This window comes from Homo sapiens, chromosome 18 (assembly GCF_000001405.40).
Source record: "Homo sapiens chromosome 18, GRCh38.p14 Primary Assembly".
NCBI lineage: Eukaryota > Metazoa > Chordata > Mammalia > Primates > Hominidae > Homo > Homo sapiens.
In genome coordinates this window covers 5862221-5881267 of record NC_000018.10, presented here as the reverse complement: position 1 = coordinate 5881267, position 19047 = coordinate 5862221, and the positions used below count along the sequence as shown (strand labels likewise).

The window sequence follows — 19047 nt, the reverse complement described above, 5'->3', positions numbered from 1 at the left end:
GTTCTAATGACATAGGCTGTGACCTTAAGAAAAATTGAAAAATTCCAAAACAAAATTTATATGTCATAGAATTTGGTCATGGCCCAGGCTTAGGAAGAAACTTGATCATATTTATACTAGCAAAGCGATACATAAGACTTGATGAATTCCATGGAGAGTTTTTATATTATATTTTGGTTTTCATGTGAAATTGTTTGGATTCTCATTATGCCCACCATAATCAGAATTATCAGCCTAAGTGAAGACTGAAGTATTTTGGAGCTCTGGTCCTTGCTACATGGGTTTAATTAGACAAGAAAATGCCCTGAAAGTGAGGTGAACCAAACAAATGTCAACTTTACAGGCATTGAAATTGATTTCAAAATGTTTGCATCATTAAATTAAAATAATAACAATTCATTAGCCAATTACATTGCTCAATTTGAATATACAGGATTTTTCCTCCTAGATTCAAATTAAAAAATTCAGAGATGGTCAAAATAATTTTGAAAGAACTTACGTTTGTTCTGATGCCAGGTGGGGGTCTTCTGAGGGAGGATTTGCTATGAAGAGTGTTCCAAGAACACTCCAAGTGTAAAGCCATAAACATTCATTTGTGGAGATGTCATACACTTTAAGATAACTCGATTTTCTCTAGTTTGGTCTTCATAAAACTAGACTGTGACTTTCTCCTTGCACTCCAAAGCAGAATATAATCCTTGTTTACAAAATAAGCAAAACATACCTTTATAGCAATACACATTTTATCTTATCACACTATATTATGCCTAGGGAATTTCAATTAAATGGTACCATTAGTTTTCCCTTCAATTTTGGTTTTCTTTAGACCACAAAGTGTTCAAGGCTGGGTCTAATTGGCATAAATGTGGTGTGAATTTTACCACTAAAGAGCAAATCTGTTATTATTATTATTATTTTTGAGACGGATTCTTGCTCTGTCACCCAGGCTGGAATGCAGTGGCGTAATCTCGGCTCACTGCAACCTCTGCCTCCCGGGTTCAAGCAATTCTCCTGCCTCAGCCTCCCAAATATCTGGGATTACAGAGGCCTGCCACCACCCCCAGCTAAATTTTGTATTTTTAGTAGAGACAGGGTTTCAACATGTTGGCCGGGCTGGCCTTGAACTCCTGACCTCAGGTGATCCACCCGCCTTGACCTCCCAAAGTGCTGGGATTACAGACATGAGCCACCACACCTGGCCCAAATCTGCTGATTTAGGTTAAAAAACAACGTATCCTACTCTATCCTTATTGAAAACCTATACTGATCATTGCCCAATTTTCCCTTGAGTGTGTGCTAGAATGCTAGGGCTCTACTGAGAAATTTCAAAAACCATTTTATTTTTTTATTCATATAAATTTAAAGAGTACAAGTGCAATTTTGATACATGGATATCTTGAATAATGATGAAGTCTGAGCTTTTACTGTGTCCATCACCTGAATAATGTACCTGGTACCCATTAAGTAATTTCTCATCACCCATTCCCTCTCACCCTCCCACTCTTTCAAGTATCCAATTCAAAACTATTTTAAGTTAAGGAGTTAGTATTTAAAATATATCAATAGCCCATTTCAGACAGCTTTGTGTCAAATCACTTTCCCATGCTTTTATCCCTAGATGACTCAGTTGTCTTCACATTTTTTGTCCAGTGTAAAATTTTAGATTTCCCTGCATCTTGCTCCCCCTACTGCCAAGTAGGTGTATGTGCTCCTTAAAGTAAAAACAAATGCCACATTCCAAAGTACTTTTTGAAATGCTTTTTCTATAAAATGCATGCCCTTCCCTGTTGTCCCTGACCTCCCACCAAAATGTGAAGTGATCTGGATAATAACATTTTCTTTTTATCACCATTGCTCCCATTAATAGCATATGCTTACTCTGTATTCTTTCTGAATTCTTTTATGTAGCTAGGCTCCCATCCTGGAAATGTGAACAAATGTCGGTCGCAAGACTCACTGCCAGTTTTCTTTAACCAGAAGTACTAATGCCGGCCACACTTCTCACCACTGTTCCTTCTATTCATCAATTTCTTTAGCAAACATTTATCATAGACCTTCTAATTTTCAGACTCTGTCTTTAAGAATGAAGATATCAAAAATATGTACTTTTTGACCTTGAAATGTCATATTCTAGTAGAGGACACTGATATGTAAACAAATAATTTCAATGTGTGACATGTGGAGGAGAATTTTATGAAAATAGCATAGTCAAGAGTGTACATTTTCAGCACTGAGCTAGCTCTAAAAACTTTCTCACCTGCAAAATAGGACAAGTACCTACCTCAGCAGGTTTTTGTGAGTATTAAATGGCACAAGGCATATAAGGCCGTGTGTCTGGCATATGGTGGGTGCTCAGTAAATGCCGGCTACTATTATTACTAGTTAATAATGACATGATAATAACCAGCAATTATTTGGTTTCCAGGAGTAGGAACTATTCTCTCAATCACTCACCACTTGGAAGTTTCTTCCCCTGGTGTGATACAGAATTTTGAATCATTCAGGGTTCACTCAGAAAGCAGAGGCACTGTGAGCTCTCTATGGCACAAGGGATTTAGTTCAAGAATGGGACGTTGTCTGGTCGTAGGAGGATCTGGGGAAAGTGATGTTCCAGGAAGGAATTTGGAGTTTCGGGGGAAGTCACCAACCTGAGAAGTTAAGCACGTCCAAGCACCGAAATAAGGCTGCAAACTGAAGACACGGGGAAGCCATCGGAAGCTGTGCTTCTGTATCGCTACCATCTCTGTGGATCTGCCACCTGGAGTGAGGTGGGGGGCCTAGGGCTGCTCTTATTCCAGGTGGTCATCCTTCAGAAGAAGAGCTGGCTGCGGAGAGGGGGAGAGTAAGGACAGGCTGGAGCCCACTGGTGCCACTGCATCTGCTGTAACCTCATCGAACGCAATGACCCCCAAGGGCAACAACTGCTGTGTTACTTCCACCTTCTTCAAATTGGTCTTCTGGCTGACTCTAACTCAGAATCCTACAGAGCGGTATATTCTGAGAAAATAGGTCTAACCTAACCAAGTCCACATGGTTAAAAAACACCAGAGTCCATCTGTTGTCAGTTTGGCATCCATATGCACCTCTTTAACTATATTTAATTTCTAAATAAGGACATAAGCAACATCATGCTTCTACCTAATGTGATGTAGCTGTCTCTCACACACCTGAAAACACAGCAAAACTCTCTACAAAAAAGAGTACAAACTCAGTCTTCTTTAGTGATGCTCATTCTTGTAGCTAGTTCACCCCCAACCCTTTGCCACCCTGTAGTTTAAGTATTGAGGTATATAATCAAGTGAACTACTATTAACGTATCATAAGTTAGACAAAAGAAGAGTCAGAGCAAGGAAGAAAGAAATAAGTTTTCATATTTTCTATTCTCTTCACTTTGAGCAAGAACATTGGCTGGTTGTGATTCCCTTTCTGGCAGGTGACCTAAGCCTTCCTTCTTGAAAGGTCTGTGCCCAGAGCTGTTCTGCCTATATGGGGTTGCTGTAGTTTTTCCTTATAGGACATAGTAATTCTAACAGGCACTATCAGGTTCTCCTGCATTCGGGACAGCCTCCTTACCCACACTGTGGAGTAGCAAACCAATTTCCACTTGATAGTCAGAATAGTCACATCAGCTAGTACAGGCACTCCTTTCTTTGCCAAGATGACAATCTCAACTTCCAGTTTAATGGAACCAACACTTTGTGCTTCATGGAAGCATCCCTGTCTTTGGAACTAAGATCTTTAGACTAGCATAGCCCAGAATTGCAGCTACGGGAAGCAAAAATTTCACATACGAGTGAAATTCACTTACTAGTCATTAGAGGTAACAGTGGGAGGAATCACTTCCATTTCTACCCCTTCATCATTAGACACGTGAATCATAACTATGGGAAAGGCATCAAGGCATACTGTTTGCTGACTTGGAGAATATACCATATTCTAGAGAATGTTACCCCAGCCTGCAAAGTGTTGCCACACAGCTGGTGTTACAACTAAGCCTTCAAAAGGCCATTCCATCATTCCTTCAGGCTAGTTGTTTAGATGACTGAAACTGGTGAATTTCATGAACATGAGCCCATTGACAAACCACATTTACTGTAAAATTAGTTCTATTGGCAGAATCAGAACTATGTGGAATATCATGATGATGAAAAAGACATTCTGGAATCCACAGATGGTGGTTTTGGCAGAAGCATTTCAGTAGGGAAGGCAAATCTATATCCAGGGTAGGTGTCTATGCCAGTGAGAATAACACACTCTCCCTCCCATGATGAGAGTGGTCCAATGTGATCAACCTGCCACTCATACTGGGGGCTTATTATTGTCTCTGCTGCCATGGCAACTTTGTTCATGAGCCCAATGGGAAAAAATACAGTATGCATATACCCATGTTCATAACAGCATTATTCATAATAGCTAAAAGGTAGAAACAACCCAGGTGTCCATAGATAGATGCATGGATAAACATAATGTGGGATATACCCACAGTGGAATATTATTCAGCCTTAAAAAAGGAAGGAAACTCTGACACATGCTGCAACATCAATGAACCTTGAAGACATTCTGCTAAGTGAAATAAGCCAGTCACAGAAGGACAAACACTGTATTATTCCAGTTATACGATGTCACTAGAGAAGGCAAATTTATGCAGACACAGAGTAAATTAGAAATTACCAGGAGTTGGGGGAAGGAAGGAATGGGAAGTTGTTTAATGAGTACAAAGTTTCAGTTGGAAAAGGTTTAAAAGTTCTGCAGACAGACGGTGGTGATAGTTGCATAGCAATGTGAATGTAATTAATGCCACAGAACTGTACACATAAAAGTGGCTAATAAGGTAAATTTTATGTAATGTACTTTTTACTAAAAATCTAGAGATTAGGTCTTACTCTGTCACGCCCAGGCTGGAGTGCAGTGGCACGGTCATAGCTTGCTGTAGCCTCGAACTCCTAGGCTCAAGTGATCTTCTTGCTTCAGTCGCCCAAGTCGCTGAGACCACAGGTGCAAGCCACTGTATCCGGCTGTTTTACCAAAATGTAAAAAATAATTTAAAAATACAGTAAACAAAGGGCTGTCAGTTATTCACTCCTCAGTATGAATTAAGCCAGATACATTCGTGTAAATACCTGTGCTTTAGGAACGAGGGTTAAGACTAAATAGGAGAAAACAAAGGTTGTAAGTCTGGCACCTGTGGTGCTACTCTAGGAGAGCACATTAAGAGGGGGATAAAGTGGAAGGTGATGCTTAATTTATCAAAGTCTTTCAGAGTAAAATGGCAGAGGAGTGTAGTAAATGCCACTTGAGACAGCTGCCTGACTTGCAGTTCCTTCATCCTTCTGTTCACACCTGGCCGTAGCTAATTGACCTAGGTATTGACACCAGACCTGAGCTTGGCCAGTCACATTTTCTTTCCCATATGTTTAACATGTGGAGGAAGGAGAACCAGAGAACAAGAGCCCTTGAGGTTGGGTCTCATTGTGTTAACCACAGTGCTCCAAATAGTAGGTCCCCAAAATCTTGTCACTGAGGTTCCTGAAGCTGCCCTGGCTCCTGCAAGGGTAAGCCTGATTTTGCTGTCATTGCTGTTGTTGTTAGACATAACAGATTATTCCAGTTCTCCTTCCTCTCAATTTGTTTTCTTTTGTTTTTGCTTATTAGCTAGAGTTGGCTATTGTGCTTACAATGAAAATACCTGAAACTTACAAGGAAGCACAGGAGATTCCTTATTGCCAGAGTTTAATGGGTATCTCTCTCCTCCTCACATTGCCCTTGGTATTCAATGTCAGGTGTGCAAGTGAGTGGCAGTACACTCAGCACCCAATTAACAAGAATATTTTATTTATTAATTTTTATTGGGGTAAAATACACATATATACTTTACTATTTTAACCATTTTAAGTGTGCAGTTCGCTGGTAATAAATACAATTATATTCCTTTGTTCTAGGAATTTTTGACAAATTGACACCACTTGCTCTCATAACAAAGACTAAACATTTATTGAGTATCTTCACACACACAAGAATACTCCCAAGTCACAATCAATGGTCACTCAAATAATAATTGATAAAACTCTTCTAGAACAAACCACTTTGAACTGTCCCTTCAATTTTACTATAAGAAGAGTCGACACTGCTAGCCCTTTTTTTGTTCCTGTGGCTCAATATAAGTTTAGTGCTTCTAATTGTAGGAATAGAAACTCTATGTAAATTGAATTATCATAATTAGCTTACAGATCACTGTAGTACTTATACACTTTTCTTCCCTTTGAGGGTTTTTTAAGAGAAAGTCACACAATAAGGAAAAAAACCAATAAAATTTAAATAGTATGTTTGTTGTTCATTTGCGTTAAAGACAAATGTTTGCTAAATGGAATTTTTTAGAATGTCTTTTTACTGGATAGAGTTGGCCTCCTCAGCAGCTTCATCTGAGGAAAAATTTAATCACAGCAGCATACCTTTTTCTGAAACTCTCTAAGACAACATTTACCCCAACCTAGGCCTAATTTAAAATGCAGGTACAACACACACACACACACACACACACCCCTATTCTGTCTGCTGTGGTGAGTAAAGGTGGTTAGAGCTGGAGCCAGAGAATTGTGAACAAATAATGTTTCCTTGTGTTCCATTGCCCTAGGTGATGGTTCTCAAAATACTTGAAACAGCAGCACCAGCATCACCTGGGAGTTTGTTCAAAATGCAGCTTCTCAGGCCTACCCCTAGGACTGTTGAATCAGAAATTCTGGAGGTGGGACCCAGCAATCTGTGTTCTAACAAGTTTAACAAATGCTCCAGGTGATTCTGATACATGCTCAAGATTAGGAACCATGACACTAGACTACCATGAATGCTGATCAGTCATTTTTCAAAAATGTTATCTTTTGGTTCCAAAAACTCTGACAAGGGAATATGCATGGATGAGGAGATAGGTCACTCTGAGTGGACAAAAACATCAACAACAAAAATGAATGTGTAACACCTTCTTGGGGGCATGGGAGGGCAGGGAAACAGGAGGGAGAAGCTGTCATCAGAATCACCTTAAATCCAATGCTCCTTTTGATTCCATCACAATGACTGATGGGGAAAACTCAGACTTACCTCAACTGCCAGGGTGCTAAAGGGATTTCAGAATCATGTAGTTCATCTCTGCCTTCTTGGTTCAAGGTTAAGATAGCCTCATCACAGCCCCTGTGGGTGACTTTCTTCCCACTGATCCCGTCCCCTTGAGTGCAAATATAAAGTAGAGCATACCCAGTGCATTAGTCTGCTAGGGATGCATAACAAAATACCGCAGGGTAAGTGGCTTAAACAACAGAAATTTATTATTTTTTTTCATAGTTCTGGAGGCTAGAAACCCAAGACAAAGCATCTGGCAGGTTTGTTTTCTCCTGGGCTTCTCTCCGCAGCTTGCAGGTGGCCATCTTCTCCCTGTGTCTTCATATGGTCTCACAGAGGCATGGTCTCTGTCTCTATGTCCAAATTTCCCCTTCATATAAGGACACTGGTCAGATTGGATTAGGACCCATCCTAATTACCCCACTTCAACTTAATCAGCCCTTTAAAGGCTCTATCTCCAAATGTGATCACATTCTAAAGTCCTGGGGGTTAGGACTTCAGCATGTGAATTTTGGGGAGATGCAATTCTGCCCATAACACCCAGAAAGAAATAAGTTCTGCTGGGGCAGCCTTCCATGAAGCCTCCTGCTTAGCTACCTTCTCATTGAAGACACCAAAACCTTCCCTGTCCCTGTCACTTATTTATAACAATACCTGAAAGAGTTCTTTAACTCAGGGCTTTATAAAGACAATAAAAAGATTGAAAATGATTGATCAAATTTCATGGTATGAGAATGAAATAGACTTTCCAGTTTTCATAAGTATAGTTATACTTACATGTACACACATAAAAGTGTCATGCAGTACAATTCCAGTATAAATATAACTTAATAAAAATTGGGGAAATTCTAAACTGTCAATCTAAAATGAGTGACAGAGACCAACTCTTCAAAGCAAAGAATTCATTCAGGAAGAGCAAGGGATTGCAATGAAAGATATGTGTGCTATGGCAGACCATAGGCACATCAAAGTGGAATGGGGAAAGTGAAAGCTCTTAAGAAAAAAAGGAGTCCGCAGAAGCTGTTTTGAAACAAACCATTGGTTACAGGGCCTTGTTGCAGGAGCTGGCATTAGCTCATGGGTGGAGGCAGCTGTTGTGAGGAAAGTTTCTTTGTGCAACCGGCTTATCTGGAATGCTGCAGCTTTGAGGAATTCCTTGCACAACTGCCATCATAGGCAGGCGTGCAGGAGGTCCCTCTTTCATGGCCTCCTGGCTTCATGTATTAAGATTTGACATTGGTGACTCCACTTTGATACTGATAATTTTCCCAAAACTATTTGTGGCTAAGTAAATTGTTTCTCTCTGAATTCTTTTTTCATCATCCAGGTGTAGTGTCCAGAGCTCTCATCACCTTTTCTGTGCCTTTCTGCACCCTGCAGGAGGGTCTCCACTACCAATGGCAAAAAGGACTTTGCCTTTGGTCTTATAATTGCTTCAAGCATGTAATGCAAATCCCCACATTCATTCACTGCTAAAAATTTTGCTTCTTCCAGGGAACTCTGCTTCTTCCAGTAGACAGCATGCAAAATGCCTGCTGTCAGTTGCTTATTACCCAGGAAGTGGGCCTCTCTGTCTGGGTGTAAATCAACTGCTTTCTCTATCTTTGTTGTGCTGTAGGGGTGGGAGGGTGATATAGTCCACAGCTTTTGGTTGGTGGAGTGACTATCTTCATCTTGGTAACCCATTGAAAACAGAGCCTGAGACATGGATTTGCGTGGAGATTGTTCATTACCTTCTTCTACAACTGCCTTCCTCTACAACTGCCTTCCTGGCCAAGAGTTGAGAGCTGATAGTGTGAATGTCCTAACCTGCTGGTTTGGATCAAATAACCTCAACTAGCTAAAGGCTAGACTCCTTACCTGCTCGAAAAGCACATAGTGCAAAACTGAAGCCCACACTTCGCTGAAAGATCAGGGCCTCTGAATTGGCCTGGAGATCTTTAAATGTTAACTTAATTTTAATCAACATATTTTCATTGGCATAGGTCCTTGAGTTCTCCAAGTATTATAATGGTATGTGAGTTTTGAGGAGCCACTTTTAACCCCTTTGACCTCACACACATATATTACAGCTGGGGTGAATGGCATGTGGGTGCAGCACAGAACCCCTGAGAAGGTAAAGAGCACCTGTTTAGCAATTTCAGTTCTCCTGCATGCTGTGTCCCATGGGAGTTAAGAACCTAAACCAATATGTACTGAAAATAAAGTTTTAAATCATATGCACCAGAACTTCTGAAAACCAAAGCAAATACTGCCTAAATAGACTAATACTGAAAAAAAAAAAAAAAAACAGATGTGAGCACATAGTGTATGGACAGAATGGAAAACCTAGATTTGGAGATAATTCCAGGTACAAGGAAGCAGAGAGATGAACCCACAGGAAGAGTTGAAAAAGCCTGCAGTTTTCAAAGGGAAGTTCTTATTTTCTGTAACTATTTCTATAGCTGCTGCTTTTCTGCTGTTGTGATTATTTATAGACAGTCAAAAGAGTCTCTCTTTTTCATGTGTACGTTCCAATTAAAATCTGGCAGCAATTCATCAGACCTGTGAAGGCAATGCTGTAACTGTGTCAGCATCACAGATAACTTGTGCAACCTGGTGCCAGCTCCTCAAATTCAGTTTCTTTCTCAGTAAAAAATAAATATTTGGAGCCCTTTATTGATAAGGTAAGCAGTGAAAGGGCTTGGCCATGGGACAAAATATTTTGACAAAGTCTTCATGGTGGTTTTCATCGTCGGTCTCTCCATGTGTGTCCAGTTCCAGAAACAAAAGTTCTACCCCAATGTTGTGCTCCCGCTTTGAGCAAAAATATTATTTCTGTGGAATATAAATTTTCTTTCAGCTTCTCACAGTTCAATGATTCCTGGCAACATCAAAGAACTGAGACAACAAAATGAGATGCTTTCTGAACACAAAGAAGCCGGGTCCTTCAGTTTCTTTCAAGAAATAATGGTGTCAGCAACACCTCTCAGCTGAGATTATCATCATCACAAATGGCCCTAACCAACTGGAGAAATGCCGAGTGGTTATAGCATGGGCAGACATGATATTTTCAAGCCAGAACACATCTAGCATTTGAAGATATTAAGATTTCCTGTTATTTTGTAATGATTACTGCATCTTACATACTTGGGAGAGAAGAACAATGAAATATAAGAAAAACCTGAAAATGAATAATTGTTGGGAAGAATGATTTGTTTAAATAATAAAGAGCATCCGTGGGGAATGCTGTTCCACAAATATTACCCCAAAACTGTGTGACTTGAGGAATGGCACAGGAGATGGATTTTTCTTTTGTGTGTGAACAAAAGCGAGATAAATCCCAACAAATTGCACAATGCCTCTTCCATTCTCATCCACGTATGTAACCTCGTTTCCTTCTCTTTGGAACTGACCACCATGACCATGTCCTGGCCTCATGGAGCCAGATACAAGTCAGTAAATGTAACTTTGGGAAACAAAACAAGAAAAGCTGACTGCTTCCTAAGGCTCATGCGTGTCCACATTCAGTGATGAGGGATGGACTTCCTGTTCCTCAGCAGAGAAGTATGGAGTCCACCCACAAGTTGGTATGTGAACTTATTATTCAAGCCAAGTAAGTTAATCCACGTGGGGATATAAATTTATTCAAGCAGATTTGAGTCAGTGTTGATCTGAAAAGGTAGGTGTTGATACCAAGTACCAGAGTTCCCACCTAAAATAAATCCACACTTATCACAGATCAGCGGTTCTCAATGAGGGGTGATTTTTTGGTCCCCCAGGGAACACTTGGCAATGTCTGGAGACATTTTTGGTTGTCACAGCTGGTGAGTGTGTGTGCAAGTGTGCATGCGTGCACTTGCTCATGCTTCTGGTATCTAATTGGTAGAGGCCAGGGGTGTTGTTAAATACCCCATAATACACAGGACAGCCCTCTCCCCTCCACCCAACAAAGAATTATTTGGCCCAAAATGTCAACTGGTGTTCAGGATAAGAAATGCTGTGATATGTTAAAGATAGCCGCAAATGTTTTTCAGCTTCTTTCATCAGGAATGGAATTTATTCCTGCCTGTGACTTGCCCTGACTACTAGAATGCAGTGGGTGTCATGTTCAAATGCCAGAGCTGAAATCTCAAGGGGCCTTTTAGCTTCTGCTTTTGCCCCTTGGGGATGCTGCCCTGAGACCATCATACCAGAAAGAAGCCCAAGATGAAAGTCCAGGAGATTAAAAGACCCATTTGTCCCACATACACCTACAAGGTCAGCCGACTGAACCCCCAGCCAACCCACAGCATAGTGAGAAATAATACATGACTGTCTTAAGCCAACAAAATGTGGGTCATCATGCTATACAGCAATAGATAACTGAAACAGTTCTAATAAAAGATAACTTGAGTGTGGATAGAGCTTAATTTCCCCAGTGTTTCCTAAGCAATGGGTCATCAGATATTTCTAATAGGCCCAATGGAAGTGGCCCCAAGAATGCAGCATGTAAAGCAATTGCTCCTTTTCCTCCATTGACACAACCAATCACATTGTGTGGGAATTTCTGGGAAAATCTCTCTTCACTAGTGAAAATATTCTAACTACCACTGGGTCTTGCTTTCACTTCTTCCTCTTTGTCTTGAGTCAGCAGTGACTGGGATGTCTTTAGGGGAAGAGAAGAGGATAGAAAAGCATCACAGTGAAGAATGGAAATCCCTGGTAAGTCATTTTGTGGTTGTATCCTTCTTGCATTCCACATTCAGTCCTTGGGAGAACCCCAAAGAGATTGTGATTCCACCCAAAAGCACTAGAAGATGGTCCTTTGCAGTCGCTCACACCCCTGTGAGCTGTAAACTCAGCAAGATGCCAAGGACCCGCTCGAATGTGGCCTGAAGGACATTGGGAGTGAAGAGGAGCACAGGTATCTTCTGCACTCTTGTCGGGCAGAGGATTCCCAGCCCTGCAGGGGCTGACAAAGCTCTCTCCTCTCCTCTCTGCCTCCTGAGAAGCTCTAGTTCTCTACTCCGGCCCACAATTGTGCAGCGTAAGAAATCAGGTGCAGAGCTTCCTCCACCCCAACGTCCTGTCCCACAAGAGCAGAACCTTTTTGAAAGCTGGCTGAGGGGAATCTGGGGCTGAGGTGCTTCATCATCAACAATGAGCGTCCTCCGGGATGGGGCTGACTGCAGTGTGGAATAAGGAGGCCTCTGTGTTGTGAGGCAATCGTTTTGCAAAACAGCTGAGTGAACCACGATTGACTGTAGCCTCAAGCGCCTCTGCTCCAGCCCTGCTCTGTGCTTCAGGGGTGGGTGGAGGAGGCAGGGCAGTCAGTGTCTTTCCCAGGTGAGTCTACCGAGTGGGGAAGGAGGCTCACTGATGTGAGTACGGAGCAGGAGGCACATGGAGAGTCGCCGGCAGTTGAACCAGATCTTTGAGGGAATGAAAGAGACCAGCATGGCCCCTGCCAATTACGCATGGCACCTGCGGTCAGGTCGCTTTCAGTTCCCTCATGCGTCAGGGATTCTCAACCCTGGCTACACATTAGAATAGTCTGGGATTTTTTTTTTTTTCTCTAGACCCATCTCTAGAGAATCTGATAAAAATGATCTGAGCTGAGATCCTGGCTTCAGTAGCTCCTAATGTGCACATATTTGTTTGTTACTTTGTTTGGGGGTGGAAAACAACTATTCTTTCATTCTGTGTTCTGGATTAAGGCTCTTGCCTTCTTCAGACCTTGGACAGCTCACAGAGGGTTACACCCTCGGCCTTAGTGCCAGGAAAAACTCACAAGAGTCCTACTGCGCCCTCTTGTGTCAGCCATGATACCGTACAGTTCCTAAGGAAAACGTTTTATTACACAAGTTACCGCCAGAGAAGAAAAACATACAAAAAAGAAAAAAATATACAAGTAACCTGTAATCCTCACTGTTAGACAACATATGTATATCTTTGCAGAATTTTTGATAAATTTTGTTCTTTCCAAAAATAGAAGGTTGTGTACGCTGTCTTGTTAACATTTTACTTAATAACCATGAATATGTTTTCGTGTAAATGAATTTAAATTCTGTATTATTTTAATTGCTTGTGCAACTGAATAGTATTTCACATGCAATGGTAGCAAAAATATTTAACATTTATTGGGCACTTACTACATGCCAGGAACTGTAGTTAGTACTTGGCATAGATAATCTCATTGTATATGCACAGCATCCATATGAAGTAGGTATTAAAATTATTCCCATTTTATAGATAAGGACATCGATGTTAATTTCCCTAAGTGGCATAACCAGAATGCAACATAAGCATTTTACTCTATATTACCAGGTACATTCAATCTATCCCTTACTGTCGTCGTATTGTTGCTTCCTTTGGAAATTGTCTTCTTTTCTTTCTCTCTCTCTCTCTCTCTCTCTCTCACACACACACACACACACACACACACACACACACGCCATAGGACTGTTTCCTTATTCCTTATGCTAGACTCTTGGATGGATTCATGGATTAAAGGTATGAATTTTAATGGTTTTACATCTCTTACCAAAATTTCTTCTAAAAATGACACATTATACTCTCAGCAGAAGGCTAATGGAATGTATGTTGTGTATTCTTGTGTTTTAAAAAGTATCAGCTTTAATTTCTAACATAGTATGGGATATACTAGTATATACTAAATTGGAATACACTATTTTACATACACGTAAACAAATGCGTTTTAGGGTCTAAGTAATTTTTAAGAGTGTAAAAGATTTCTGATGCCAAAAGCTTAGAGCACTGCTGCCCTAGGAAGAGAAGCCAGAGTCCATTTGTATGCCCGCCACCTGCGCATCAACACCCTCTTCTCCTACTCCTCTCTTTTTGGTCCATAGACTCACCTTGGCTGTAGGAGCCACTCTTTCCTGTCAAAAAGGCCTTTTTAATTATTTGCATTTTTATGTCCATCCCTCACTTGTGTCAATAGGTGTAGCAACCATGCAGCCCTACATTTTCAGACACAGTTTTGTTCTTCTATTACTCTCTCTTAGCCTTCCAAGAATGCTGAGATAGGATCAGCCTGTGTCCGAGGAGGAGCAACATGGTGCTGTGGAAAGAGAATTGGGTGTGAACAGCACTTCTATTAGTGACCAGTTTGGAAACTATGGGTAGGTTACTTAATCACTTTACTCTAGGTTTCCTTATCCATAAAAATGAGAACATTATCTACATTTTTAGGATAGAGAAAATTAAATGAATTAGATATTTAGTGCCAAGCTAGGCAGAGAACAGGAATTGGACAATGTCTAGTATTTCCCTGAGTCTGTATTCATCCCTTTATTTTCAACTTTTTAAAATGCCTTTGTGTTTTACATATGGCTCTTGTAAATATCATATAGCTGGATTTTTAAAACATCCAACCTGACAATCTCAGTATAACTGGAGAGTTTTATTCATTAACTTGCTTTTCTTTTTCATTTTATCACCTACTCATGTATGCTTCTTCAATGTATTGTTTAGTCTTGGTTTTTTGAATTTACAAAATTGCCATCACACTAAATTGACTCCTCTGTGAATTTGCTTCTTGCACTCTCCATTATGTTTTGAGATCATGCATATTATTGTGTGAAGCCATAGTTTATTCAATTTCTTCAGTGTGTAGCTCATTCTGTGACTATATCAAAATGTATCTCTCTGTTGTGTTGAGTTAGATATCTGGATTACCTCTGGTAGCATTATATATATATACACACACACATATATACACACATGTGTGTATAGATACACATACACACATACACACGTGTGTGTATATATATATATACTCATGTATATATACACACACATACACACACACACACACACACACACACATATATATATTCATTCATTCATGCTGGTATGATAAATACCCCCATGAGAATGTCTCCCAGTGCATATGTGCAGGATTTTCTAGAAGTGAAATTGCAGACCCCAGGGTAGACATATGTTCTATTTACCAGGCAATGCTACACTGTTTTTTTTTTTCTTTTTTACCTCTGTGACATACAATGATTTTGTGTAACAATTATAATTATTAATGATAACACACACTAAATCATATCAGAATTATAGGAGTTTCCCATTATTTTGGAACACATATCAGTAACATATTTATACAAATCAGCTCAAAGAAAGCCAAACAGCATTTCATATTTGACAATGCTTCCTGTGTGATCTTTATACCAAATAAGCCAAATTTCACCCTTTGCATTAGTGTACTATTAATGTCAACCCGAATTCTTAATAACATCTTATAGACAAATCTATCCAATCTTAATCAGTTTGAGCATAAGGTAAGATTCTCATAAACCTTTTATAACCGGTTACAATTTTCATTAAAGAGCAGATCAGTGTTCTAAGAAAACCCCTTTATTTATTTATTATTATTATTTTATTATTTATTGTGATATATATTTTAATATTATATACCATATAATATGACATATTGTATTATATTAATATGATATATTATATCTTATTATTTTATCATTTTATTGTTTATTATTAATTAATAATTAATTTTATTTATCTTATTTTATATTTGCTTTTATTTTAATATTCAATTTACAGAAAAAGTGAGTAATACCCCTTTAACTTTAGCAAATATGTTCACACACAGAATCTCTTTTACAATTAATTCTTTATAAACCTTCCACAACTTGTTCAAACGTTTAGATATTTTCTATCTCACTTAAAACAATCCTTTAACTCTCTAAACTTAAGCAGGAAATGCACATTCCCTTGGCTTCTTATAGTCTTTTACTAAAAGTATATTCTGCTTTCCTTACATGCCTTGTGTGTAGAACTGTTTCTCTAGTAGTCTCAGATACATGTTACAATGTTAACTCTTAGCAACGTTTACTTTTGGTGAAAAATCTGGTTAGTAAGCAATTGTGTGAAGCCTAGGACAGCAGACAAAAGTGCAGATAAGGCCTGACTCTTTCCAACATGCTAGGGGGTATGGCTAACTCCACATGTCCCCAGGCCTTATCTAGAATCTAATACTCCAAAGTAGGTAAACTGAACAATTTTTAAAACTTAAAGAAGCAGTTTATGACCTTAAAGCATTTAGGACACCTAATATCTGACCTGCCTAATTTAGACCAAATATCTAAATTTTGAAGACATTTTAATTTTACCAATAACCTTTAAAACTGTCTTTATTTCCCAAAGCTTACTAAAGTCAGATGAACCAAAAGACACTGTAGCTTTTCTTTGTCTGACAAAATATGTGATTTAAGCTCTTATTACTTTTAAACCAATTAATCAAAACTCTTTCACATATAAACAGCACACACACAACACATACAAATAGACAGACAGAAGAGGATACAGTAGTTGTATAATTTTTCATTCACCAGTTTCTTTCTTTTTGTTTTAATTAATTCTAGGGTACATGTGCATAACGTGCAGATTTGTTACATAGGTATACATGTGCCATATTGGTTTGCTGCACCCATCAACTCGTCATTTACATTAGATATTTCTCCTAATGCTATCCCTCCCCCAGCTCCCCACCCCCCAACAGGCCCCAAGTGTGATGTTCCACACCCTGTGTCCAAGTGTTCTCCTTGTTCAGTTCCCACCTATGAGTGAAAACATCCAGTGTTTGGTTTTTGTCCTTGTGACAGTTTGCCGAGAATGATGGTTTCCAGCTTTATCCATGTTCCGCGAAGTACGTGAACTCATCCTTTTTTTTATGGCTGCATAGTATACCATGGTGTATATGTGCCATATTTTCTTAATCCAGTCTATCTTTGACGGACATTTGGGTTGGTTCCAAGTCTTTGCTATTGTGAATAGTCCTACAATAAACATACGTGTGCGTGTGTCTTTATAGTGGCATGATTTATAATCCTTTGGGTTTATACTCAGTAATAGGATCACTGGGTCAAATGGTATTTCTAGTTCTAGATTCTTGAGGAATCGCCACTGTCTTCCACAATGGTTGAACTAATTTACACTCCCACCAACCGTGTAAAAGTGTTCCTATTTCTCCACATCCTCTCCAGCATCTGTTGTTTCCTGACTTTTTAATGATCACCATTCTAACTGGAGTGAGATGGTATCTCATTGTGGTTTTGATTTGCATTTCTCTGATGACCAGTGATGATGAACTTTTTCATGTGTCTGTTGACTGCATAAATATCTTCTTTTGAGAAGTGTCTGTTCATATTCTTTGCCCACATTTTGATGGGGTTGTTTGTTTTTTACTTGTAAATTTGTTTAAGTTCTTTGTAGATTCTGGATATTAGCCCTTTGTCAGGTGGGTAGACTGCAAAAATTTTCTCACATTCTGCAGGTTGCCTGTTCACTCTGATGGTGGTTTCTTTTGCTGTGCAGAAGCTCTTTAGTTTAATTAGATCCCATTTGTCTATTTGGCTTTTGTTGCCATTGCTTTTGGTATTTTAGTCATGAAATATTTGCCCATGCCTATGTCCTGAATGGTATTGCCTAGGTTTTCTTCTAGGGTTTTTATGGTTTTAGATCTTACATTTAGGTCTTTAATCCATCTTGAGTTAATTTTTGCATAAGGTGTAAGGAAGGGATCCAGTTTCAGCTTTCTACATATGGCTAGCCAGTTTTCCCAGCACCATTTATTAAATAGGGAATCCTTTCCCCATTTCTTGTTTTGGTCAGGTTTGTCAAAGATCGGATGGTTGTAGATGTGTGGTGTCATTTCTGAGGGCTCTGTTCTGTTCTATTGGTCTGTATATCTGTTTTGGTAGCAGTACCATGCTGTTTTGGTTACTGTAGCCTTGTAGTACAGTTTGAAGTCAGGTAGTGTGATATCTCCAGCTTTGTTCTTTTTGCTTAGAATTGTCTTGGCTATGTGGGCTCTTTTTTGGTTCTATATGAACTTTAAAGTAGTTTTTTCCAATTCTGAAGAAAGTCATTGGTAGCTTGATGGGGATAGCATTGAATCTATAAATTATCTTGGGCAGTATGGCCATTTTCACGATATTGATTCTTCCTATCCAGGAGTGTGGAACATTTTTCCATTTGTTTATGTCCTCTTTTATTTCATTGAGCAGTGGTTTATAGTTCTCCTTGAAGAGATCCTTCACATCCCTGTAAGTTGGATTCCTAGGTATTTTATTCTCTTTGTAGCAATTGTGAATGGGAGTTCACTCATGATTGGGTTCTCTTTTTGTCTGTTATTGGTGTGTAGGAATGCTTGTGATTTTTGCACATTGATTTTGTATCCTGAGACATTGCTGAAGTTGCTTATCAGCTTAAGGAGATTTTGGGCTGAGATAATGGGGTTTTCTAAATATACAATCATGTCATCTGCAAACAGGGACAATTTGACTTCCTCTTTTCCTAAGTGAATACTCTTTATTTCTTTCTCTTGCCTGATAGCCCTGGCCAGAACTTACAACACTATGTTGAATAGGAGTGGTGAGAGAGGGCATCCCTGTCTTGTGCTGGTTTTCAAAGGGAATGCTTCCAGTTTTTGCCCATTCAGTTATGATATTGGCTGTGGGTTTGCCATAAATAGCTCTTATTATTTTGAGATACGTTCCATCAATACCTAGTTTATTGAGAGTTTTTAGCATGAAGGGCTGTTGAATTTTGTTGAAGGTCTTTTCTGCATCTACTGAGATAATCATGGTTTTTGTCATTGGTTCTGTTTATGTGATGGATTATGTTTATTGATTTCCATATATTGAACCAGCCTTGCATCCCAGGGATGAAGCCAACTTCATTGTGGTGGATAAGCTTTTTGATGTGCTGTTGGATTTGGTTTGCCAGTTTCTTAACTGAATTACTAGCTTCAGGGCAGAGCCCTTGGATGAACAGGGCCAGGAAAGCATGCATTTCCTATGGCCTAATAAGCAGGCACAGCCAAAGCCAGTCAATTGGTGTTGCATGCAGATGATTTTCCTTTGGGTCAGAGGTATCTTAAATATAATCCCCTCATGGTTTGCCAGAAAAATGTTACTGGAAAGGGGT

The 19047-nt window shown here is 39.4% G+C and overlaps 1 long non-coding RNA gene across 10 annotated transcripts in view, besides 1 other annotated feature; it reads right to left on the bottom strand.

The window, feature by feature from the left end:
• Window positions 1-19047, bottom strand: part of MIR3976HG (MIR3976 host gene) — a 165609-nt gene that overhangs the window by 33140 nt on the left and 113422 nt on the right. For 8 of the 10 annotated variants that reach the window (NR_172496.1, NR_172503.1, NR_172497.1 and 5 more), the window contains exons 5-7: window positions 4884-5015; window positions 2649-2825; window positions 500-697 (exon numbers count right to left, since the gene is read on the bottom strand). This is a non-coding gene — a long non-coding RNA (MIR3976 host gene). Of the gene's footprint in view, window positions 1-499; window positions 698-2648; window positions 2826-4883; window positions 5016-13949; window positions 14156-19047 lie in introns of all 10 variants that reach the window. The other 2 variants (NR_172498.1, NR_172494.1) reach the window with 2 other exon arrangements.
• Window positions 12774-12823: a silencer, noted in NCBI's record as "silent region_9264". NCBI's record gives its function as "represses an Ori minimal core promoter by ATAC-STARR-seq in GM12878 lymphoblastoid cells {active_cell/tissue: GM12878}" and the evidence as "EXISTENCE:reporter gene assay evidence [ECO:0000049][PMID:35858748]".